This window comes from Homo sapiens, chromosome 16 (assembly GCF_000001405.40).
Source record: "Homo sapiens chromosome 16, GRCh38.p14 Primary Assembly".
Lineage (NCBI taxonomy): Eukaryota > Metazoa > Chordata > Mammalia > Primates > Hominidae > Homo > Homo sapiens.
Window position 1 is genome coordinate 84559294 of NC_000016.10, and position 18940 is coordinate 84578233.

General features: G+C 50.8%; 1 protein-coding gene across 1 annotated transcript in view, besides 5 other annotated features; it reads right to left on the reverse strand.

Annotated features, from left to right (window-relative positions):
* Positions 346 to 863: an enhancer, noted in NCBI's record as "H3K4me1 hESC enhancer chr16:84593245-84593762 (GRCh37/hg19 assembly coordinates)". NCBI's record gives its function as "activates a minimal SCP1, AML or CMV promoter by ChIP-STARR-seq in naive H9 embryonic stem cells {active_cell/tissue: H9 hESC(naive)}" and the evidence as "EXISTENCE:reporter gene assay evidence [ECO:0000049][PMID:30033119]".
* Positions 1928 to 2695: an enhancer, noted in NCBI's record as "H3K27ac-H3K4me1 hESC enhancer chr16:84594827-84595594 (GRCh37/hg19 assembly coordinates)". NCBI's record gives its function as "activates a minimal SCP1, AML or CMV promoter by ChIP-STARR-seq in naive H9 embryonic stem cells {active_cell/tissue: H9 hESC(naive)}" and the evidence as "EXISTENCE:reporter gene assay evidence [ECO:0000049][PMID:30033119]".
* Positions 2696 to 3463: an enhancer, noted in NCBI's record as "H3K27ac-H3K4me1 hESC enhancer chr16:84595595-84596362 (GRCh37/hg19 assembly coordinates)". NCBI's record gives its function as "activates a minimal SCP1, AML or CMV promoter by ChIP-STARR-seq in naive H9 embryonic stem cells {active_cell/tissue: H9 hESC(naive)}" and the evidence as "EXISTENCE:reporter gene assay evidence [ECO:0000049][PMID:30033119]".
* COTL1 (coactosin like F-actin binding protein 1) overlaps positions 6303 to 18940 on the reverse strand; it is a 52483-nt gene continuing 39845 nt past the window's right edge. Inside the window, exon 4 of the mRNA NM_021149.5 lies at positions 6303 to 7662. Within this exon, the coding sequence (NP_066972.1) occupies positions 7552 to 7662 (111 nt within the window). The 3' untranslated portion in view covers positions 6303 to 7551. The remainder of the gene's footprint in view (positions 7663 to 18940) is intronic.
* Positions 13030 to 13562: an enhancer, noted in NCBI's record as "H3K27ac-H3K4me1 hESC enhancer chr16:84605929-84606461 (GRCh37/hg19 assembly coordinates)". NCBI's record gives its function as "activates a minimal SCP1, AML or CMV promoter by ChIP-STARR-seq in naive H9 embryonic stem cells {active_cell/tissue: H9 hESC(naive)}" and the evidence as "EXISTENCE:reporter gene assay evidence [ECO:0000049][PMID:30033119]".
* Positions 17872 to 18051: an enhancer, noted in NCBI's record as "active region_11242". NCBI's record gives its function as "activates an Ori minimal core promoter by ATAC-STARR-seq in GM12878 lymphoblastoid cells {active_cell/tissue: GM12878}" and the evidence as "EXISTENCE:reporter gene assay evidence [ECO:0000049][PMID:35858748]".

The window sequence follows — 18940 nt, forward strand, 5'->3', positions numbered from 1 at the left end:
AGAACAGCCCCTGCCCCAGACTTCCTGGTGTGCCTTTAGCCTTAGGGCAACACCTGCCTCTCCTGCCCCACCCAGAGGGATTCAAAGTCCCACACCTCGCACCTGGGGAGCACTTGGCAGAACCCAAAGCCTGGAGCACACGGCAGCCTCCACAGCCCCCTCCTGGTAGCGGTATCTTAAGACTCCCTCAGAGACGATTAAAAGGGTGGAGGACTCAGGGTAACGGGGTCAAGCAGCTGGGTTGGAAGAGCCAGACAGGTGGACAGGCGCACGGGATAGCTGTCCTCCAGGGCCAGCCCTGGGGCAGAGCCAGAGGCAAGAGCCAGCACCCAGGCGGAGAAAGCCAGAAAGGCGTCTGGTCTCATTGCCTAGTTCGGCATAGGCTAGGTCCGAGCCCCATCTGAGCAGGTATGGATTCTGGGTGTGGCTCAAAGAGCTGGGCAGGGCCCCACCTCCTCCCCTTTCAGACTGGGGAACTCCACTGAAGCTGATTCACTGACCACTTAGTGAGCACCTACTGTGTACAAGGCCTCACGCCAGGCACTGGGATGGGGCACCTGCCCCAGAGAGGCGCACAGTTAGTGGGGGAGGGGAGAAGCAACTGGAGGAGGGAGGGAAGAGGGCGGACTCATTCCCCATGGCTGCCACAGTCAGTCACCACACCGGGGGCTCAACACAACACAAAGATATTCTCTCACGATTCTGGAGGTCAGAATTCAAAAATCAAAGTGTGGGCAGGGCCATGCTCCCTCTGGAAGCTCTAGGGGAAGCTTCCTGCCTCTTCTAGCTCCTGGTGGCTCCAAGCTTGCAGAGGCCTCACTCCAATCTCTGCCTCTGCCTTCACGTGTCCGCCTCTCTTGTCTCTCATCTCTCATCTCTCTTGCCTCTTGTCTCTGTCTAAAATCTCCCTGTGATGCCTGTTACGGGATTTAGGTGCTGCCCTAAATCCAGGATGATCTTTAATTATATCTATAAAGACCCTTTTCCTACATAAGATCACATTTACAGGTTCTGGGGCACAGACAAATCTTTTGGGAGCCATGATTCAGCCCACTTCACAGGACACAGGGAACCTTCTAGAAGAGGCAGACCAGCAGAGACCAGTCTCTCTCTAGAGGGAAAGAGAGGAGCCTTCAGAAAAGTAGAGGAAGGATGTCAGGGCCCGGATGCGGGCATGCGAGGAGGAAGGTGGACAAGGTCCTGGCTAGAGGGACACGCAGAGCCCCTCCAGCCCTTCCGGAAGTTTGCCATTGACCACAGGATGCTGAGTGGGTGAGGGGTAGCAAAAAGCTAACATGGAGCTGCTGTTGGAAAAAGGTGAAATTCTTTTCTTAATTTAGGATGAACTGTTCTGATGGGCAAGGAAAGGCTCAAAATTAAGGCATAATCCTGAAGAAAAAAAGCTCTAAAAAATATTTTTCCCTTAGTTTCATGCCTTAAGAATTCATTTAGCCGGTGTGGTGGCTCATGCCTGTAATCCCAGCACTTTGGGAGGCCGAGGTGGGCAGATCACCTGAGGTCAGGAGTTTGAGACCAACCTGGCCAGCATGGTGAAACCCCATCTCTACCAAAAACACAAAAATTAGCCAGGCGTGGTGGTGCACACCTGTAATCCCAGCTACTCAGGAGGCTGAGGCAGGAGAATTGCTTGAACCCGGGAGGCGGAGGTTGCCGTGAGGCGAGATCACACCACTGCACTCCAGCCTGGGCGACAGAGTGAGACTCCGTTGCAAAAAACAAAACAAAACAAAACAAAACAAAACACACACACAAATTAGCTGGGCATGGTGGTGGGTGCTTATAATCCCAGCTACTTGGGAGGCTGAGGCAGGAGAATCGCTTGAACCTGGGAGGCAGAGATCGTGCCACTGCATTCCTGCCTGGGCAACAGAGGGAGACTCTGCTTCAAAAAAAAAAAAAAAAGAAAAGAAAAGAAAAAAAAAAGGAATTCATTTACATTCAAACAAAAATGGAATGTTGCAGGTGCCTCATCTGTCAGGCTGGGAGGAATCTCGGAGCTGAAAGCAACCCAAGCTTCTCTCGCTCCCAGGAAGTCTCACTGTATTGATGCCACCTGGTCAGCACAGTGCACCGCAGACCAGAACTCCTGGGCTCAAGGTGTCTCCTGCCTGAGCCTCAAATACCTAGGACTACAGGTGTGCGCACTGCGCCTGGCTAGCTTTTGTTTTTATGCTGTTGGGACACCTGGCCATGGTGAAGTTTGGCCGCCTGGTCCTTCTTCCTCTTTGGATAGCAACCTGGATTACTGAAATTCCTGCTCCATCCTTCCTCCAGCCTGCAGGGAGCACCTGCTGAGGGAGTGCTGGGGAGTGCTGTTGTCCTGGTCCATGAGGCAGCTGAGGACCCCGGCAGACTAGCCAGTCTCTTTCCATTGCACAGAATGTTAGGGCTCACTCATTCATTCACTTCTGTGAAATCCTACAGCATGACCTCATGAAAAGATGCTTGAACCCGGCACTGCCTGGGTTCAAATCCTGGCTCAGCTGTTTCCTAGGTGTGTGTGGTAGGCTGTATTTCTCTTCACAAACGTTTGGTGACCCCCCTTGCAAGAGACTGGTACATCCCTGCCCGGCTGAACCTCGTATAGCTGTGTGACTTACCTTGGGAACTCTTCAGAGGAGGCAAGCATCCTGCCTAAGGTCACACGGCCTGTAGGCGGGGAACTCGGGTTCCAACCGTTCCCCTCACACTGTGCTGGCTCCCAGTCCCAGCCCCACCTTCCCAACAGGGATCGAAGAGCCATGTCTTTTGCTCCCTCCCAGACCCTGCCCAGGTGGAGACATTTGTGTACCCAAAGTGATGCCAGCCAAGCCCTAGATTCGTAGCAGCAGCCCACGGGCGGCGACACTGACAAGCAGGGGTAGAAGGATCAGACGGCTCTGTCACTGCCTCGGGGTTAGGCCTGAGCTGTTCATGGCCACAGCCCTTGCTCCAAACGAGGATGGTCCCCCAGGACTGTGCAGAGTCCCCATCGGAATCTAACAGATCACATCACGCTAAGCACCTGGCAAGGCTCAGCTCACTTAGTCCTTGTAATAAATGCATGAGGGAAGTGCTGTGATCTTTAGAGGGGGAAACTGAGGCTCAGAGAGGTGACACTACTGGCCAAGGTCATCTGGCGGGTGAACCACGGACCTCGGACTCAAACCTGAGCCCAAGGCTGAGCTCTGAGCCACGGCTGTGCTGCCTACTGTCTCTTACTGAGTCATCTGGTGGCCGCGGCCGTTTCTGGTTCTTTCAAAAAATTCTTTCTACATCACTTGGACTATGCACATTTTCTGCTTCTTGTTTCTCTCTTTTATGGTTCACTAAGAAATGGGGAACAGAAAGATTTCAACGAGGGCAGCCCATCCTCAGGGCAGGAGCTGCACGGGAACTTTCCCCCAGCCAGGGCCGCACCCTGGGCCTGGACTCCCTCACCAGCCCCAGATAACCTCTGGGGTATAAACACCTGGCACAGCTGAGAAATAGGGCTGAGTGTGGTGGTTCACGCCTGTAATCCCAGCACTTTGGGAGGCCGAGGTGGGTGGATCACAAGGTCAGGAGTTAGACACCAGCCTGGCCAACATGGTGAAACCCTGTCTCTACTAAAAACACAAAAATTCGCTGGGCATGGTGGCGGGCACCTGTAACCCCAGCTACTGGGGAGGCTGAGGCAGGAGAATCGCTGCAACCCAGGAGGCGGAGGTTGCAGTGGGCCGACATAGCGCCATTGCACTCCAGCCTGGGTGACCGAGCAAGACTCTGTCTCAGAAAAAAAAAAAAAAGGCAAGGTTTCTCTGCCTTCAGTGGTCTCATGATCCCTTGGGATCCCCAGCAAAGGCCCAAGCTGCAGTTTTCAAGTTAAAGCCAAGCTCCTTGACACACGAACAAGCTGCTTCAGACCCTGGCTCACCCGTGGGCAAACATTCCATGGAGCTTATGTCCACGCTTTCCTGTTCCTCCCCTCCTTTCCCCGCGTTCTCAGCTCAGGTACCACCTCCTTAGGGAAGCCCTCCCCCATACCCTAGCCAGATCCAGGGCCCTTGTGAGCTCTCATGGAACCTGGGCTTTTTTCTCTGAAGGAGACTTATCCTCATCTGGAAACACACACCCTCTGGTGGGACAAGCTGATTAATATCCATCATCCCTGCTAGACTCAGCCTCCTTGAGGGTGGGGGCTGTCTGAGTTTGTTCATCATCAAATCCCCATACCTAGGCCAGTGCCTGGCACATAGTAGGTGCTCAATAAACCTGTCTGCACTTGCCCTTCAAGATTCCAGTCATGGCTGGGTGCAGTGGCTCACGCCTGTAAGCCCTACACTCTGAGAGGTTGAGGTGGGAGGATCGCTCAAGTCCAGGAGTTTGAGACCAGCCTGGGCAGCATAGGGAGACCTCCTATCTAAAAAAATACAAAACTTAGCTGGGCATGGTGGTGCACACCTGTAGTCCCAGCTACTCAGGAGGCTGAGGCAGAAGGATCGATTGAGCCCAGGAGATGGAGACTGCAGTGAGCTGTGATTGTGCCGCTGCACTCCAGCCTGGGTGGCAGAGTGAGACCCTGTCTCAAAACTAACAAAATGAAAACAAACAAGATTCCACTCACGAGAGGAACCCACAGAGGGAGAGGCAGGCCTCCCTTCCAGCCCCTCCTGCCCGGGATCAGGGCCACTTCTGCAGCTGTCTGGAAAGGAAAAGCTGGCGTTCGTTGAGTCTGGCACTCCAATTTCACTCACTAGTCTGGGATAGAGGCCTCATCTGTATTTTCAAAGCTCCCAGTGATCCTAATTCACAGCCAGGGATGAGACCACAGGCCTAGGGGCAGATTTGAGAGCTGCTCATTCTTTCTAGTCTGCTTTGGGGCAGGGAGTGGGGTGGGCAGTGGGCCTGGAGGAGGGCTTGGCCGACCAGGAGATTCCAGGAGAGGATGGAAGGCTTGCGGGACGCAGTGCATGAGTGACATGAAGTCATGCACCTACTGAGCCCATGTTCTGAACGGAGCTAAAACCCGTGCACTGGGAACGGACCTAGTTTAGCTCCCTCAGCTCTGGGTATAGGAAAAGACGGAAGCCCACAGAGCTAACAAGACCAGTGGCAGGCGTGAGATAAGAACACTGCACCCTGACAGGCGCCCTTTGCCTGCACAATCCTCGCTGCTCCTTAAGCCTTTCTACACGTAGGCAATGTTGTCTATTTTGCAGATGAGGAAACCGAGGCTGAGAGGTTAACTAAATTGCCTAAATCCACACAGCTGTGAACAGATGAGCAGAAATTAGAACCCAGACGTGGCTGGGGCGGGCTGGGGCTGGGGAGGGTGGTGACCTATGGCCCCCTGCCACCCTGGGCAGCATGATCAGGGCCTTGCCCATACCTTGTAGGATTCCTTCCTGCCCTGATTTCGGCTTCTGCCCTCTCTCCGCACTCTCCCTGCCCCACACTCAGCTCCTCCAAGCCCCGCTGTCTGTGTCTGAAACTCCTCTGCCCTGATTCTGGGCTCCCACAGGGTCTGGTGTGCTGGAAGTCCAGTTTCTCAGCTGTAGGATAACCTCAGAAAGGATGTCATGGCCAACGAGGAAGATGCTTTCTCTTGGCTTTTCCTAAACAGGCAGACAGGGGAGTTCTGGCCACTCAAAAAGAATCACTACCTGTGGTCCCATCGCTATCCCAAATGTGTGGCCTCCCCGCTCCCCTCACAAGCCACAGCACCAGGGACTTTGAGAGATCTCAGTTCAAATCCCAGCTCTGGCCGGGTGTGGTGGCTCACGCCTGTAATCCCAGCACTTTGGGAGGCCAAGACGGGCAGATCACCTGAGGTCAGGAGCTCGAGACCAGCCTGGCCAACATGGCGAAACTCCATCTCTACTAAAAATACAATAATTAGCCAGGCATGGTGACGGGTACCTGTAATCCCAGCTACTATGGAGGCTGAAGCAGGAGAATCTCTTGAATCTGGGAGATGGAGGTTGCAGTGAGCTGAGATCTCCCCACTGCACTCCAGCCTGGGCCACAGAGTGAGACTCTGTCACCAAAAAAAAAAAAAAAAAAAATCCCAGCTCTGCCACTTTCTATCTGGGTGACCTCGGGTGAATGAATCCCTCTGAGCCTCAGATTTCAGGAAATGGGGACAAAAGCAGCACCTGTTTCTTATGGTTGCTAAGAATTAAATAAGCAATTGAATGTGAATGTGCCCCGCCTCAGCAGCTCCGCAAACACCTATTAAATCTGAAGGCGATGATGACTGCCTCTGTTATTACAGCAAAAAAAAAAAAAGAACTTTGTAGGACAAATCAGAAACCAAACTGTTTTCTGAAAAACAAAAAAAACATTTATTTCTGTAAACTGTCTGAGTGCAGAGATGTTCTTTACAATCCCAATACAGTACAGATTTCTTCCCCAAAACGAAATGAGCAAGGAAAAACAGAAAAAGAGCTATATCAAATGTGCTCATGAAGAACCAAGCCAATCTCACCTTTCTTTAAAAACAAAACAAAACGATCCTTTTGAATGTGTGGTGCAGACGCAGGACTGAAGCCACAGGCTTTTGGGGTGCTGTGAGCCCAGGGCTTTGCTCAGCTCACAGCTAGCGCGGCGGGCAGAGCAACCCTTCGGCCCAAGCCATCCTCGCAGCTTACACAGAAGCTTCCTGAACCTAAGGGATCCGTTCCCAGCTCTCCTTAAATTCCCAGTCCCCACCCTGGGCCTCTCTCCCTAACGATCTTGTCGCTTTGGGAGCCCCTGAAGTGAACCCTGAAATACTCCCTCCGTCAACTCTGGGCTCAGACCTTTGCCCTTCTCTGTGTCACAAGGAAATTTCGGTCAAGAGGGTGGGAACAGGTGGTTTCAGACCGTGCAGCAAAGCCACTGCCAGGTAAGTTTTAAGGCAAATTTTATCTCTTCTTATTCAGTCTGAGCCGGACCTAACCTTCTCACCACCGAGCAATCCTGCCTATGCTGGACATGCATCTTAGGCAACTCCGGATGGAGGTGGGATGAGGGAGCCCGGGGCAGATACCAGGAGGTCTGGGCCTTAGTAGGGAATGGACGTGTGTGCTTATGAAGGCTGCAGGCACCGGGCACAGCTCCTGGCCCAGCTGCCCCTCAGTGGTACACAGGAAGCAGGGTCCAGGAAAACTGAGATGGCAAAATAGGCCCGGGCTCTGGAAAGCAACGTGAGGTCATGCAGATCTCACTAGGCAGACCTCGTCGCGTGGAAGAGAAATGCCAGGAAAAGGGGTCACTGCAGGAGGCACCTCGGATCTGATGGCAGGCAGGACCTTGCATCAAAATGACTTTTCTTTAGAACAAAAAAGAGGGGGAGAAAAGAAAAAGAAGATCAAAGAAAGAGGTTCCATGAGCGTCATGAGATAGGACACGGCAGGGTTCTAAGGGAAGCGGGAAGGTGGGGGCTGTGGACACAGGGTGGCGGGCGCTGCCTCTCATGGCTTCTTTTCTCCCTGGTGGGCTGGTGGGCTAGTAGCTGAGGCCGGCGGTCCTCTCCCCCGGGGAGCAGGCAGATGACTTTGGCAAGGGGTGGTGTGGCGGGGGCTGGGGTTACTCCGTCTGGGCGTCGTAATTGGCTCCCCCCGCCTTCTTCAGCTCGCTCTTGATGAAATCTTCCTCCAGCTCCTTCCGATCACTGATCACAAACTCCTTAGCGAAATTCTGCAAGAACAAAGGAAAACACAGCGTTCCTATTAAGAAGGAAGGCACAGGATGTGAGGGTGGCTCAGGCAACACACTGGGAAGCAAAGCACTGAAAACCCTGATGAGAGATGGAAATGGAAATTCAGCAGCAGAGTCAGTCAATGGAAATTCAGCAGCAGAGTCAATGGAAATTGAACAGCAGAGTCATCTGGCAGAAAAAACCTGACTGGGAGGAGGGAGTGGGGCAGATCTGATGCTGCGTCTTCCCATGTCCGTGGGGATGGCCCGAGGAAGCTGGGGCTTGAATTTGGGCTGTTACCTTGGCCAAGTCCCTTCAATTCTCTGTGCCTCAACTTTCTCATCTGTAAAAAACTATCTCGTCAGGAAAATAATAGGTTACGAGGTTGGAAAGGCTCACGGGTGTGCAGGCACTCCAAAAAAAAGAAAAGGACAAAAGCTCAGATTGGTGTCTTTTGCCCATATCCATGATGTAAATAGTCCCCCAGTGGCTGACGTCAAGCTATCAAAGTGATGTCACCATACGTGGAGGTGGAAGGAGACAGGCGTAATTGGCTCTCGCCAGCTGGGACAAGCAAGCTTCAGCCACCAATGTTCCTAATGACGCAGGAGCCTCCAGTCCTGGGTCTGCCATGGGCTCTCCACCCGCACTGAGTTACACGAGGGTAGAGGCTCTGCCTTCTTTCAACAAATACCACGCCAGGCTGTGGGGCTACAGGGCTCAGCAAAATGGATGCAGTCAGTCTTTCCTCTTGCAGTACACAGGTTTCACCCATAGAACCCGCAGGCACCCATGATGCACTCAGTAAACGCTTGTGGCATGAATGAGGGAACCAGGTGACCTGGCTTATCAGACACCCTTAAGCCATGATGATACACAGTTACTGCCATATGTGGATCATAAGACTTTAACAAACAAAATTTCAGAACGATGACGGACAGCTTGACAAAAAAAAGCTATCAAAACCACAAATAACACGTCTAAAGGTAAGAAAATCATCCACATTAAAAAAAAAAGCCCATAAGGAAATAACATAAACAATGACCACCATTTTTCTTTTTCTTGAGAGAAAAGCCTGTTGCCCAGGCTGGAGTGCAGTGGCGCAATCTTGGCTCACAGCAACCTCTGCCCCCAGGGTTCAAGCCATTCTCATGTCTCAGCCTCCCAAGTAGCTCGAACTACAGGCGTCTGCCACCACACCCAGCTATTTTTTGTATTTTTAGTAGAAGCAGGGTTTCGCCACATTGGCCAGGCTGGTCTCAAACTCCTGGCCTTAAGTGATCCGCCCAGCTTGGCCTCCCAAGGTGTTGGCACTACAGGCGTGAGCCACCACGCCCGGCTAACCACAATTATTAAGCACTTATGTGTACCAGCACAGTGCCACAGTACTGAGAATGACACACAGTAGTAAATATGAATCATGGAAGGTGGAAGCAACCCCTATGTCCATCAACAGAGGAGTGGATTATCAAAACACGGTCCGTCCACACAATGGAATATTCCTCAGCCACAGAGAGGAATGAAGCGCTGCCACACGCAACTACATGGATGAACCTCGGAAACAGGATGCTGAGTGAAAGAAGCCAGGCATGAAGACCATGTACTGTCAGCTGCCATTGGTATAAATGTCTAAAAAAGGCAAACCCATACAGACAGAAAGCAGACTCGTGGTTACACAGAGCTGGAGATGGGAACAGGAAATGATAGAGACGTTCTAAAATTGGGATTGTGGTAATGGGTGCACAACTCCACAAATTCACGAAAAAGTACTGAAAAAGTACACTTAGGATGACTTGATTTTGAGGTACATACATCATACCTCAATCAAGTTCTTTTTAAAAAGGCCCGTAAGGTGATCAACATTATTTCCATTTTAAAGGTGAGGAAACAAAGGCTGGAAATTACAATGCTTGTCCGAAGTCAGACAACCAGAAGGTCCAGTTGATGCCAAAGCTGGCGTCTTGAAAGAGCCACCATCTCCTTTTGGGGTGATGAAAAAGTTTTGGAACCAGACAGAGGTAGGGCTTGCACAACACTGTGAATGTTCTGAAAGCCACTGAATTGTACACTTTAAAATGGTTCAGGCCAGGTGCGGTGGCTCACGCCCGTCATCCCAGCACTTTGGAGGCCGAGGCAGGCAGATCACCTGAGGTCAGGAGTTCGAGACCAGCCTGGCCAACATGGCGGAACCCCATCTCTACTAAAACTACAAAAATCAGCCGGGCGTGGTGGCGGGCGCCTGCAATCCCAGCTACTGGGGAGGCTGAGGCAGGAGAATCGCTTGAACCCGGGAGGCGGACGTTGCAGTGAGCCAAGATCGCGCCACTGCACTCCAGCCTGGGCGACAGGGTGAGATCTGTCTCAAAATAAATAAATAAACATAAAAAGGTTCATTTTATGTTAAATGAATTCCACCACAATTAAAAAATAAAAAACAAAAAAGTCGCCATATTGCCAAGAATGATGAGCCCAGGAGCATCCCGAAGTCAAGCTTTACAATAAAAAGACAATGCATTTGGCGCGCAAAGCCACTGAGAACACTAACAAAGTGGAGAACGGGAGGTTAATTTTTATCAAGCAGCTGATGTGTGCCAGGAACAGCCTCACTCATGTTCTCGTTCAGCCCTCAGTATATTAACTTTATTTTATTTTACTTTTTGAAGATAAGACTCATGGGCTGGGCTTGGAGAGATTTGCCCAGAATGACAGAACACCCTTGAGATCCTTTCTGTTCCCACCCCACTACAGTGTGTTACTAAGTGTATGTGATCCGTGCAATGAAAGAACACAAGTTGGATGTAAGAGCCAGAAAGGAGAATTGAGAATTAATGTATTTCTCAACCCTGAGCCCCACGGCATGAGGGAGGGGCAGAGAGCTTTCAGAAGGAGGAAGCCAACAGCTTAAGATGCTTATAGAAGAAAAGTCCAAAGTTCCTCTGCTTTGTGATAGCTATATATGGCAATCTACAGAAATAAGAACACTTGAAGTTCCAGTCGGTTAGCTATTAGAAGATTTAGATTAAGAAAAATAAGTTTGAGAGCCATGGATGGTGGCTCATGCCTGTAATCCCAGCACTTTGGGAGGCTGAGGAGAGCAGATCATGAGGTCAGGAGATCGAGACCAGCCTGGCCAACACGGTGAAAACCCTAATCTACTAAAAATATAAAAATCAGCTGGGTGTAGTGGCGCGAGCCTGTAATCCCAGCTACTCAGGAGGCTAAGGCAGGAGAATGGCTTGAACCTGGGAGGCAGAAATGGCAGTGAGCCAAGATGGCGCCACTGCACTCCAGCCTGGCAACAGAGCGAGATTCCATCTCAAAAAAAGAAAAATAAGTTTGATAAGGTCTAAGAAATCTCAAATGAAAGATACATGGAGCTAGGCACAGGTCAACCTAAAACCACAAGTACTTAGGAAATCAAATTATAATGAAACAAAAACAAGCAAAACAGACAGCAGATCTAGTAAAACATAACAATAAATGTAAATGAACAAAATTATCTTTAAAAATGCTATGTTTCAAACTACAAAAAAAAAACCCTCAAACCTTGTACTACATACCAGAGACATATTTAAAATCAAAAGATTAGCAGAAAAATGATTCCAAGTTATACAAACAAAAGTATATACAAAAGCAACCATATGATCTCTGAAAACATTTAAAGCAAACTGAGTCTCACAAGATAAACAGGGTCATCCTGCAACTTGATAACCCTCCTGGCTCAGCTGATGTTCTTTCCTCTCTGCTCGGTAGAAAATAGAATGGAAGGTTATTTTCCCTGTTGAAGGGCTGTTTTTATCATCAGTACTTAGAGAGGTCTTAAAAGACAAGTCGTCCAGCAATCCGATTACTGCCAAAAAGCAAAGGGTTAGAAAGCAAGTGTCTTAACACACTGAACTGGCTCATACCTAAAAGTCCTGTATTCCTATTTCGTTTCCAATTTATCCTCAGGGGAACACAGAGAGAATGTGCAAAATTGAGTCTTCCCTCATTCCTGCTTTTTTTTTTTTTCCTTTTTTGCCTCTTCCAATGACCAAGAAAGACAAAACTTTAAACATTTCTGAAGATACAGTGACCATGGCCATGCTCTAGGCCCCTTTAGAACAGACCCCAGATTCTCTGTTCGGAAGAATCCTGACATACTGCCTCCAGGGGTGGGCTGAAGACCTTGTATTCAGACATGAGCCTGTTGGCTCCCTTCACCTTCAGTCTGGCTGACAGCTGGTGCATTTGGCTCTGCTCCCGTCCTCACACGAGAGCCCCCGCCGCGTGACTGCCAAGGTGTACAGCCTGGGACTCGATGCAGCCCACGCCAGTGCAAAGCCGAGCAGAGAGAAGGGATGGACGGAGGACACTGGAGGTCCGGGCTCCCTCTGGGCCTTAGTATCACCATGGCCTCATAGACAGCAGGGTTGGTGGTCCTTAGAGGTCATCTCTTGCCCCTCAATTCAGAAGGGGAAACTGAGGCTCGGCGAGTGACACCATGAGGCTGGTTAAGCGGCAGTCATGCCCCAGCCCACTGCTCTCCACCCTTGCACCTGGGTCCGCTCATCTCTCCCCCCTGCCCATCAGCTTCCCTCCCCTCTTTGTGTCTCCTCCTCGTGCTGCTCCTGTGTCTTGTCCACCCCTTCCCCGTTCTTTGAGCCTGGCAGTGACTCCTAGCACCTTCCAAATAAAGTGTCTACATCTCCATCCAATCATCCCCCTGGGATCGGCTCCCCGCTGTCACCTCACCGGCAGACTGGTCATGCACGGGCCCATTGCCTGGACGTCACGTGGACACATGGGTGAGACGGTGAGACGGGCCTGTGACCAACAGTGGTCAGTTCCCTTGCAGCCAGAGCTGGACCCCAGCCTGCTCCTGAGTGGACACCGAGCCGCTCCCACCTTCTATAGGGCCAGCAGCAACTCTGCAGGGGCCCAGGTGGTCAGGCCGCATGGAGGGGGTACTAGCAGGCCTCCATCCTACACGGGGTGCTCCCAAGCCCCCAGAGGCTTACAAAGGTGAGCCAGCACCTTCCATTCAGGGCGTGGACTCCACAGAATGTCCCCAAAATGTCTAACCTGAGCCTCAGCCTAAAAACCAACTGACAACAACCTCCACACCTCTCCACCTCCACGCCTTCCAGCGGCTCCCATGAGATAAGGGAGTTGCAAGCACCACTGGGGAGTGGGCTTCATTGCATGTTTTCAAAACGAGGCAGAAGCTGAGCAAAACAGCTCTGGGCAGACAGACTCTGACTTGGGAGCAATGCCTGAAACTGGAGGGAGCCTGCGTGGAGCAGCTGAAGTCTGCCTTGCACCTGAGGCTGGAAACCAGAGGGAACATATGCATGCAAAGCGTGGCCACCCCTACACCACACACACCTCAAGACACAGCACTTGCCAGCACCCACATGCCACCAACACCCACGGGGGCAGGGGCAGGTGGCAAGACTCAGGAGGCAAGTCCTTCATCAGAAGGAGACTTCCAGGGCCTAGAGCAATGCGGACACACACAGAATGTTAATTTCTCTTTTTTTGAAACACAGTCTCACTCTGTCACCCAAGCTGGCGTGCAGTGGTGCGATCTCGGCTCACTGCAGGCTCAACCTCCTAGGTTCAAGCGATCCTCCCACCTCCGCCTTCCTAATAGCTAGAAATACAGGCACAAGCCACCACGTCCAGCTGATTTTTGTATTTTTCTGTAGAGACGTGGTTTCGTCATGTTGCCCAGGCTGGTCTCCAACTCCTGGGCTCAAGCGATCCACCCATCTTGGCCTCCCAAAGGCCAGAATTTTGAATTTTCTTTCTTTCCTTTTTTTTCTTAGACAGGTCTCACTCTGTCACCCACGCTGCCAGGCTGGAGGGCACTGGTGCAATCTCAGCTCACTGCAACCTCCACCGCCTGTGCTCAAGCAATCCTACCACCTCAGCCACCGAAGTAGCCGGGACTACAGGTACACACCACCATGCCCGACTAATTTTTTTTTTTTTGGTAGATAATGGGGTTTTACCATGTTGCCCAGGCTGGTCTCAAACTCCTGAGATGAAGTGATCCACTGACCTCGGCCTCCCAAAGTGCTAGAATTACAGGCGTGAGCCACTTTGCCTGGCCGGGAATTTTCAATTTGCTACTAGCCACATTGAAAAATGTAAGAAAGAAACCAGTGCCATTTATTTTAATAGTATTTTATCTAATCCAATATATGCAAAATATTGTCATTTCCACAATGTAATCAATGCTAAAAGGTACTGACGAGGTCCTTTACATTCATTTCTTTTGAACCCAGCCTTAGAAACGCTGTGTGCCCTCCGGGTATACGGCACACACTGATATGGCTGGGTGCGCTTTCAGGCGCTCAGTGGCCACACGTGGCCAGCAACAGCGCAGGTCTAGACAGAACACGAAAGCGTCTGAAAGAATAATGTGATCAGGCAAACAGAATCATGAATCGCAGAGCATTAGAGCCCATCCGACAGGGGTGGACATCTGCGCCATGTCCAGATCTGGGTGGTGGCTTCAAAGGTATGCATCATGAACATTCAAAATACACAAAACTTGGGCCAGATGCAGTGGCTCATGCCCAGCACTTTGGGAGGCCGAGGTGAGTGGATCACCTGAGGTCAGCAGTTCAAGGCCAGCCTGGCCAACATGGTGAAACCCCATCTCTACTAAAAATACAAAGAATTAGCTGGGTGTGAGAGGCGGGAGAATCGCTTGAACCGGGGAGGCGGAAGTTGCAGTGAGCTTAGATCGCACCATTGCACTCCAGCCTGGGTGACAAGAGCGAAACTCTGTCTCAAAAAAAAAAAAATATATATATATACATACACACACACACACACACACACACACTCAACGAGTAGTATTCCGAAGATCTCTGCGTTTTACTCTATGTAAATTGTGTTTCAGCTGAACAAAATAGTGAAGGGAGGTGGGGCGCTGTGGCTCACGCCGGTAATCCCAAGCACTTTGGGAGGTCGAGAAGGGAGAATCGCTTGAACCCCGGAGTTCCAAGACTAGCCTGGGGAACAGTGGGACCCTTTCTCTACAAATAATAATAATAATAATAGTAATAAATAGCCAACAGTGGTGGTGTGCGCCTGTTGTCCCAGCTACTTGGGAGGCTGAGGCAGGAAGATCACTTGAGCCTGGGAGGTCGAGGCTGCCGTGAGCCATGATCGCACCACTGCACTCCACCCTTGAGACCTGCCATTCACCTCTTCATTATGTAGAGGACCAGCAACAACCCAGAGAGGGGACGCAGTTCATCCCAGGGGACACAGCAACTTCCCGGCAGGGCCCTGGGGATGCGTTCCTGGTGCCAGCCCCACTTTCTCCCCACATCCCGCCTCCAGGGGCTGCTCTAGACTGCCAAGCCCTCGAGGCAGCTGCCACAACCTGCCAGAGACTGCACAGCAACATGTGTCAGTCTGGGGGCACCGTCACCTGTGGCTGAAGAAAGCTCTTTGTTTTGTCTGGGAACTCGGTGTCGCTCTCTCATAGCTGCCAGACGGGGGACTTCTCTTTTCTTGCCAAAGCAGGATTTTCTTCCAAGGGCCTCATCCGACGAAGTCTCACTCCAAGCGGCTGAAGCTGCTTGAATGGTTTGGAATTATGCAACCAGCAAGTGGAAGACCAGTTTTTTTGTTTTTGTTTTTTCTGAGACGGACTCTCACTCTGTTGCCCAGGCTGGAGTGCAATAGTGCGATCGGCTCACTGCAACCTCTGCCTCCCGGGTTCAAGTGATTCTCCTGCCTCTACCTCCTGAGTAGCTGGGATTACAGACAACCACCACCACGCCTGGCTAATTTTTGTATTTTTAGTAGAGACGGGGTTTCACCATGTTGGCCAGGCTGGTCATGAATGAAGACAAGTTTTGTCCCTGTGACCTTTCTCAAGTGCTTATAGATTCATGCCTCAAAGATGCAAAATAAACATCCATTGAAACCTGTCTCCACCTTTCTGAGGAGGGTAATATAGCAGAGGGTACGGGTTAGGTACAGGGGCTCTGTACAGAGTCTAGCCATCTATTTGCCACGCTGGATTTTAAAGTGCATGTTCTCCTGTCTTGGTTTTAAATCATTCTTTTCTCATTTATTTATTTATCTTTTGAGATGAAGTTTTTGTTCTTGTCACCTAGGCTGGAGTGCAGTGGTGCAATCTCAGTTCACTGTAACCTCCACCTCCCGGGTTCAAGCGATTCTCCTGCCTCAGCCTCTCGAGTAGCTGGAATTACAGGCGCCCACCATCACACCTGGCTAACTTTTGTATTTTTAGTAGAGACGGGGTTTCACCATGTTGGCCAGGCTGGTCTTGAACTCCGGACCTCAGGTGATCCACTCGCCTCAGCCTCCCAAAGTGCTGGGATTACAGGGGTGAGTCACCACGCCCAGCCCATCCTTTTCATTTTTATTTTTATTTATTTTCATTTTTTGAGACGGAGTCTCACTCTGTCGCCCAGACTGGAGTGCAGTGGTGCAATCTCAGCTCAGCACAACCTCCACTTCCAGGTTCAAGCAATTCTCCTGCCTCAGCCTCTGAAGTAGCTGGGATTACAGGCACGTACCACCACGGCCGGCTCATTTTTGTATTTTTATTAGAGACAGGGTTTCATCATGTTGGCCAGACTGGTCTCGAACTCCTGGCCTCAAGTGATCTCCCCCCCTTGGCCTCCCAAAGTGCTGGGATCACAGGCATGAGCCACCACACCTGACCCCTTTTCATTTTTTAATGGCTCCCAACTGCCCAGGTTTAAACCCCAGCATGCTGGGAGCAGGTCCAGGCCAAATACAAACAGGCACCCTTGTCCACAGGCATCTCCAGTGGCCTGAGCCTCCCTGGGGACTCAACCTCCCTGAGCCTGAGTCTCCTCATCTGCAAATGCGGACAATAGCAGCTTCACATCCTAGGGCTGTTGGGAGGGTCGTATGAGCATAAAAGGGGCTTGCACACTTGATGAGAACACCTGGTACAAAGCGGAGTGCTCAACAGTCAGAGAGAATGTTCTACAGGACTGTGGGTTCACCTTCATTCTCAGGATCGTTAGGGGAATCTGAGATTTAATGAAGTTCCCTCAGTCACTCAGAGTGAAGACACAGGCAGTAGCTAGTTCCTCTTCTCATTCCTAACGTTTATTTTTTAACAAAGGGAAGTCCCAGGAATTCCTTGGAATAACCAAGTCAGTGAAACTGGCAGACAGAAGATGACAAATCCGGCTGCAAACCCCAAAGCCAGGCCCAGGGTTAGCTTCAGGGAACAAGGAGGCCTGTCGGGGTACAAGTGTAAGGTCTGCTATTCAGGAGTGTTGCGCCTATGAGGATATTCCTAACCAATGCAGAGAATGTGGGTGCAGGGGAAGCTCCGGGGAGAAAACATGAGTGGGGATTCTTGGGCAGTTCCATTTGTGAAGTCAGGAATGCATATTTCTATGAAGTGGGGCCCAGGAGAGGAACTGATCTTCATTGTATTGAAAGACAATGAAAGCGACACAATTTGTTCTTCCCACGAACACACATTAATAAACACCTGTCATATGCCATACACTCTCCTAGGCTCTGGGAAGTCAAAATTCTGGTACTTACTGGTCTCTCTGACAGACTGAGAATAGAAAAATAGAAGCAGCGGGCTCTGAAATGCCCGGAAGGCAGTATTTAATGGCTCTGGGCCCTGGTTTCCACCTCTGTGAAAGAAGAAGGCTGGACAACAGGGTCCCCCAGCCTTTCCCCACCAGTCATCCAGGGATCCTACACCTAAGCCTCCAGAGCACATAGACACGGGACGAAGTTCCACCAGGGACACCAGATCCTAGGGCAATGGGGAAACCTGGCATGGAAAAGTCAGCTTTGGGATCAGAGCATAGCTCTCACAATGAAGGCTGCCTGCTGGCTTCAGGTCCTTCCCAAACCCTCACAACACGGTGTGGGGACTAGAATCTCCCCTCCCGCAGGCATAAGATGGAGCCGGGGATAGACAAGACATGTGCTGGACACATGAATGTGTCTTTTCCACAAGTGGGTGATGATGACCAATAAACCAAAGACTCTGAACTGCTGAAGAAATACAGCCACAGTCCCCAGCACCCTGAATCTTGCTAGGAGACAAGGCAATCCCCAAGGAAGAGGAGCCAAATGAAAACACACAGCTATGAAACCCACTGGGCACCTGCTGCCAACCCCACCGAGGCCCCTACACCTCCCTCCCACAACTATTCAAAGTGCTTGAAAGACCGAGGTTTTAAAAACTCTACCAGCAAGGTATAATTTACTCAAAAGGAATGGGTTCTTTTTTGTTTGTTGGTTTTGGTTTTGGTTTTGGTTTTTTGAGACAGAGTCTTGCTCCACTGCCCAGTCTGGAGTACAGTGGTACCATCTCGGCTCACTGCAACCTCCATCTCCTAAGTTCAAGCGATTGTCCTGCCACAGTCTCCCAAGTAGCTGGGACTACAGGCATGCGCCATCACACCCAGCTATTTTTTGTATTTTTAGTAGAGACAGGGTTTCACCATGTTGGCCAGGCTGGTCTTGAACTCCTGACCTCAGGTGATCCACCTGCCTCGGTCTCCCAAAGTGCTGGGATTACAGGCACGAGCCACCATGCCTGGCCGGAACAGGTTCTTATAATAGGCATGAGTCATTATAGATAAAGGGAAAAACTAACAGATCAAAATGGCACGGGCTCGGGTTTGACAGATTCAGGAACAAAGGCACCTGTGTCAAACCCTCGTAGCTCAGGAGTGACGCGACCCTGCTGTACTTGAGGAACAAAAGCCAAGACAGAGGCACACGGCTGTATTTCGGGTGGACACAGGGTAACCATCTAATGAAGATGGAAGGCATGGTGTCCTAGAAGCACACTGTGATGTCCTAGAAGCACGCTGTGAGTGTTTTGGCCAAAACCAAATAGAGGCGGCTGTTCCTATGCCTGGATCTGTGACCCCGACAGGGCCCCTGACCTCTTCAGCATTTGGGCAACTGCCTGGAGTCTCAGGCTCGGCTTTCCTGACCACAGAGATTTACAGAAGCCCCAAACGCACCTTGCCTAATTTCTAACTACGGCTTCATCTAGACCAGGCATGGAAAGCAAGTGGGAAACATACTCTCCTCTCTCCGGTGTCCACAGGAGACATCACAAATTAATCATGGCACTTTCCCCACCGAGTCCAGGCTTAACCTCAGAATCTCCCTTAACCCGGAGCTCCAAATAGCCCAAGCTTATTGATCAGTTGACAAGCTAGAGATTAAATCCAGGTTCAGATCTTCAACTTCTGCCCCATCAAAACTGTGCCCAGCATT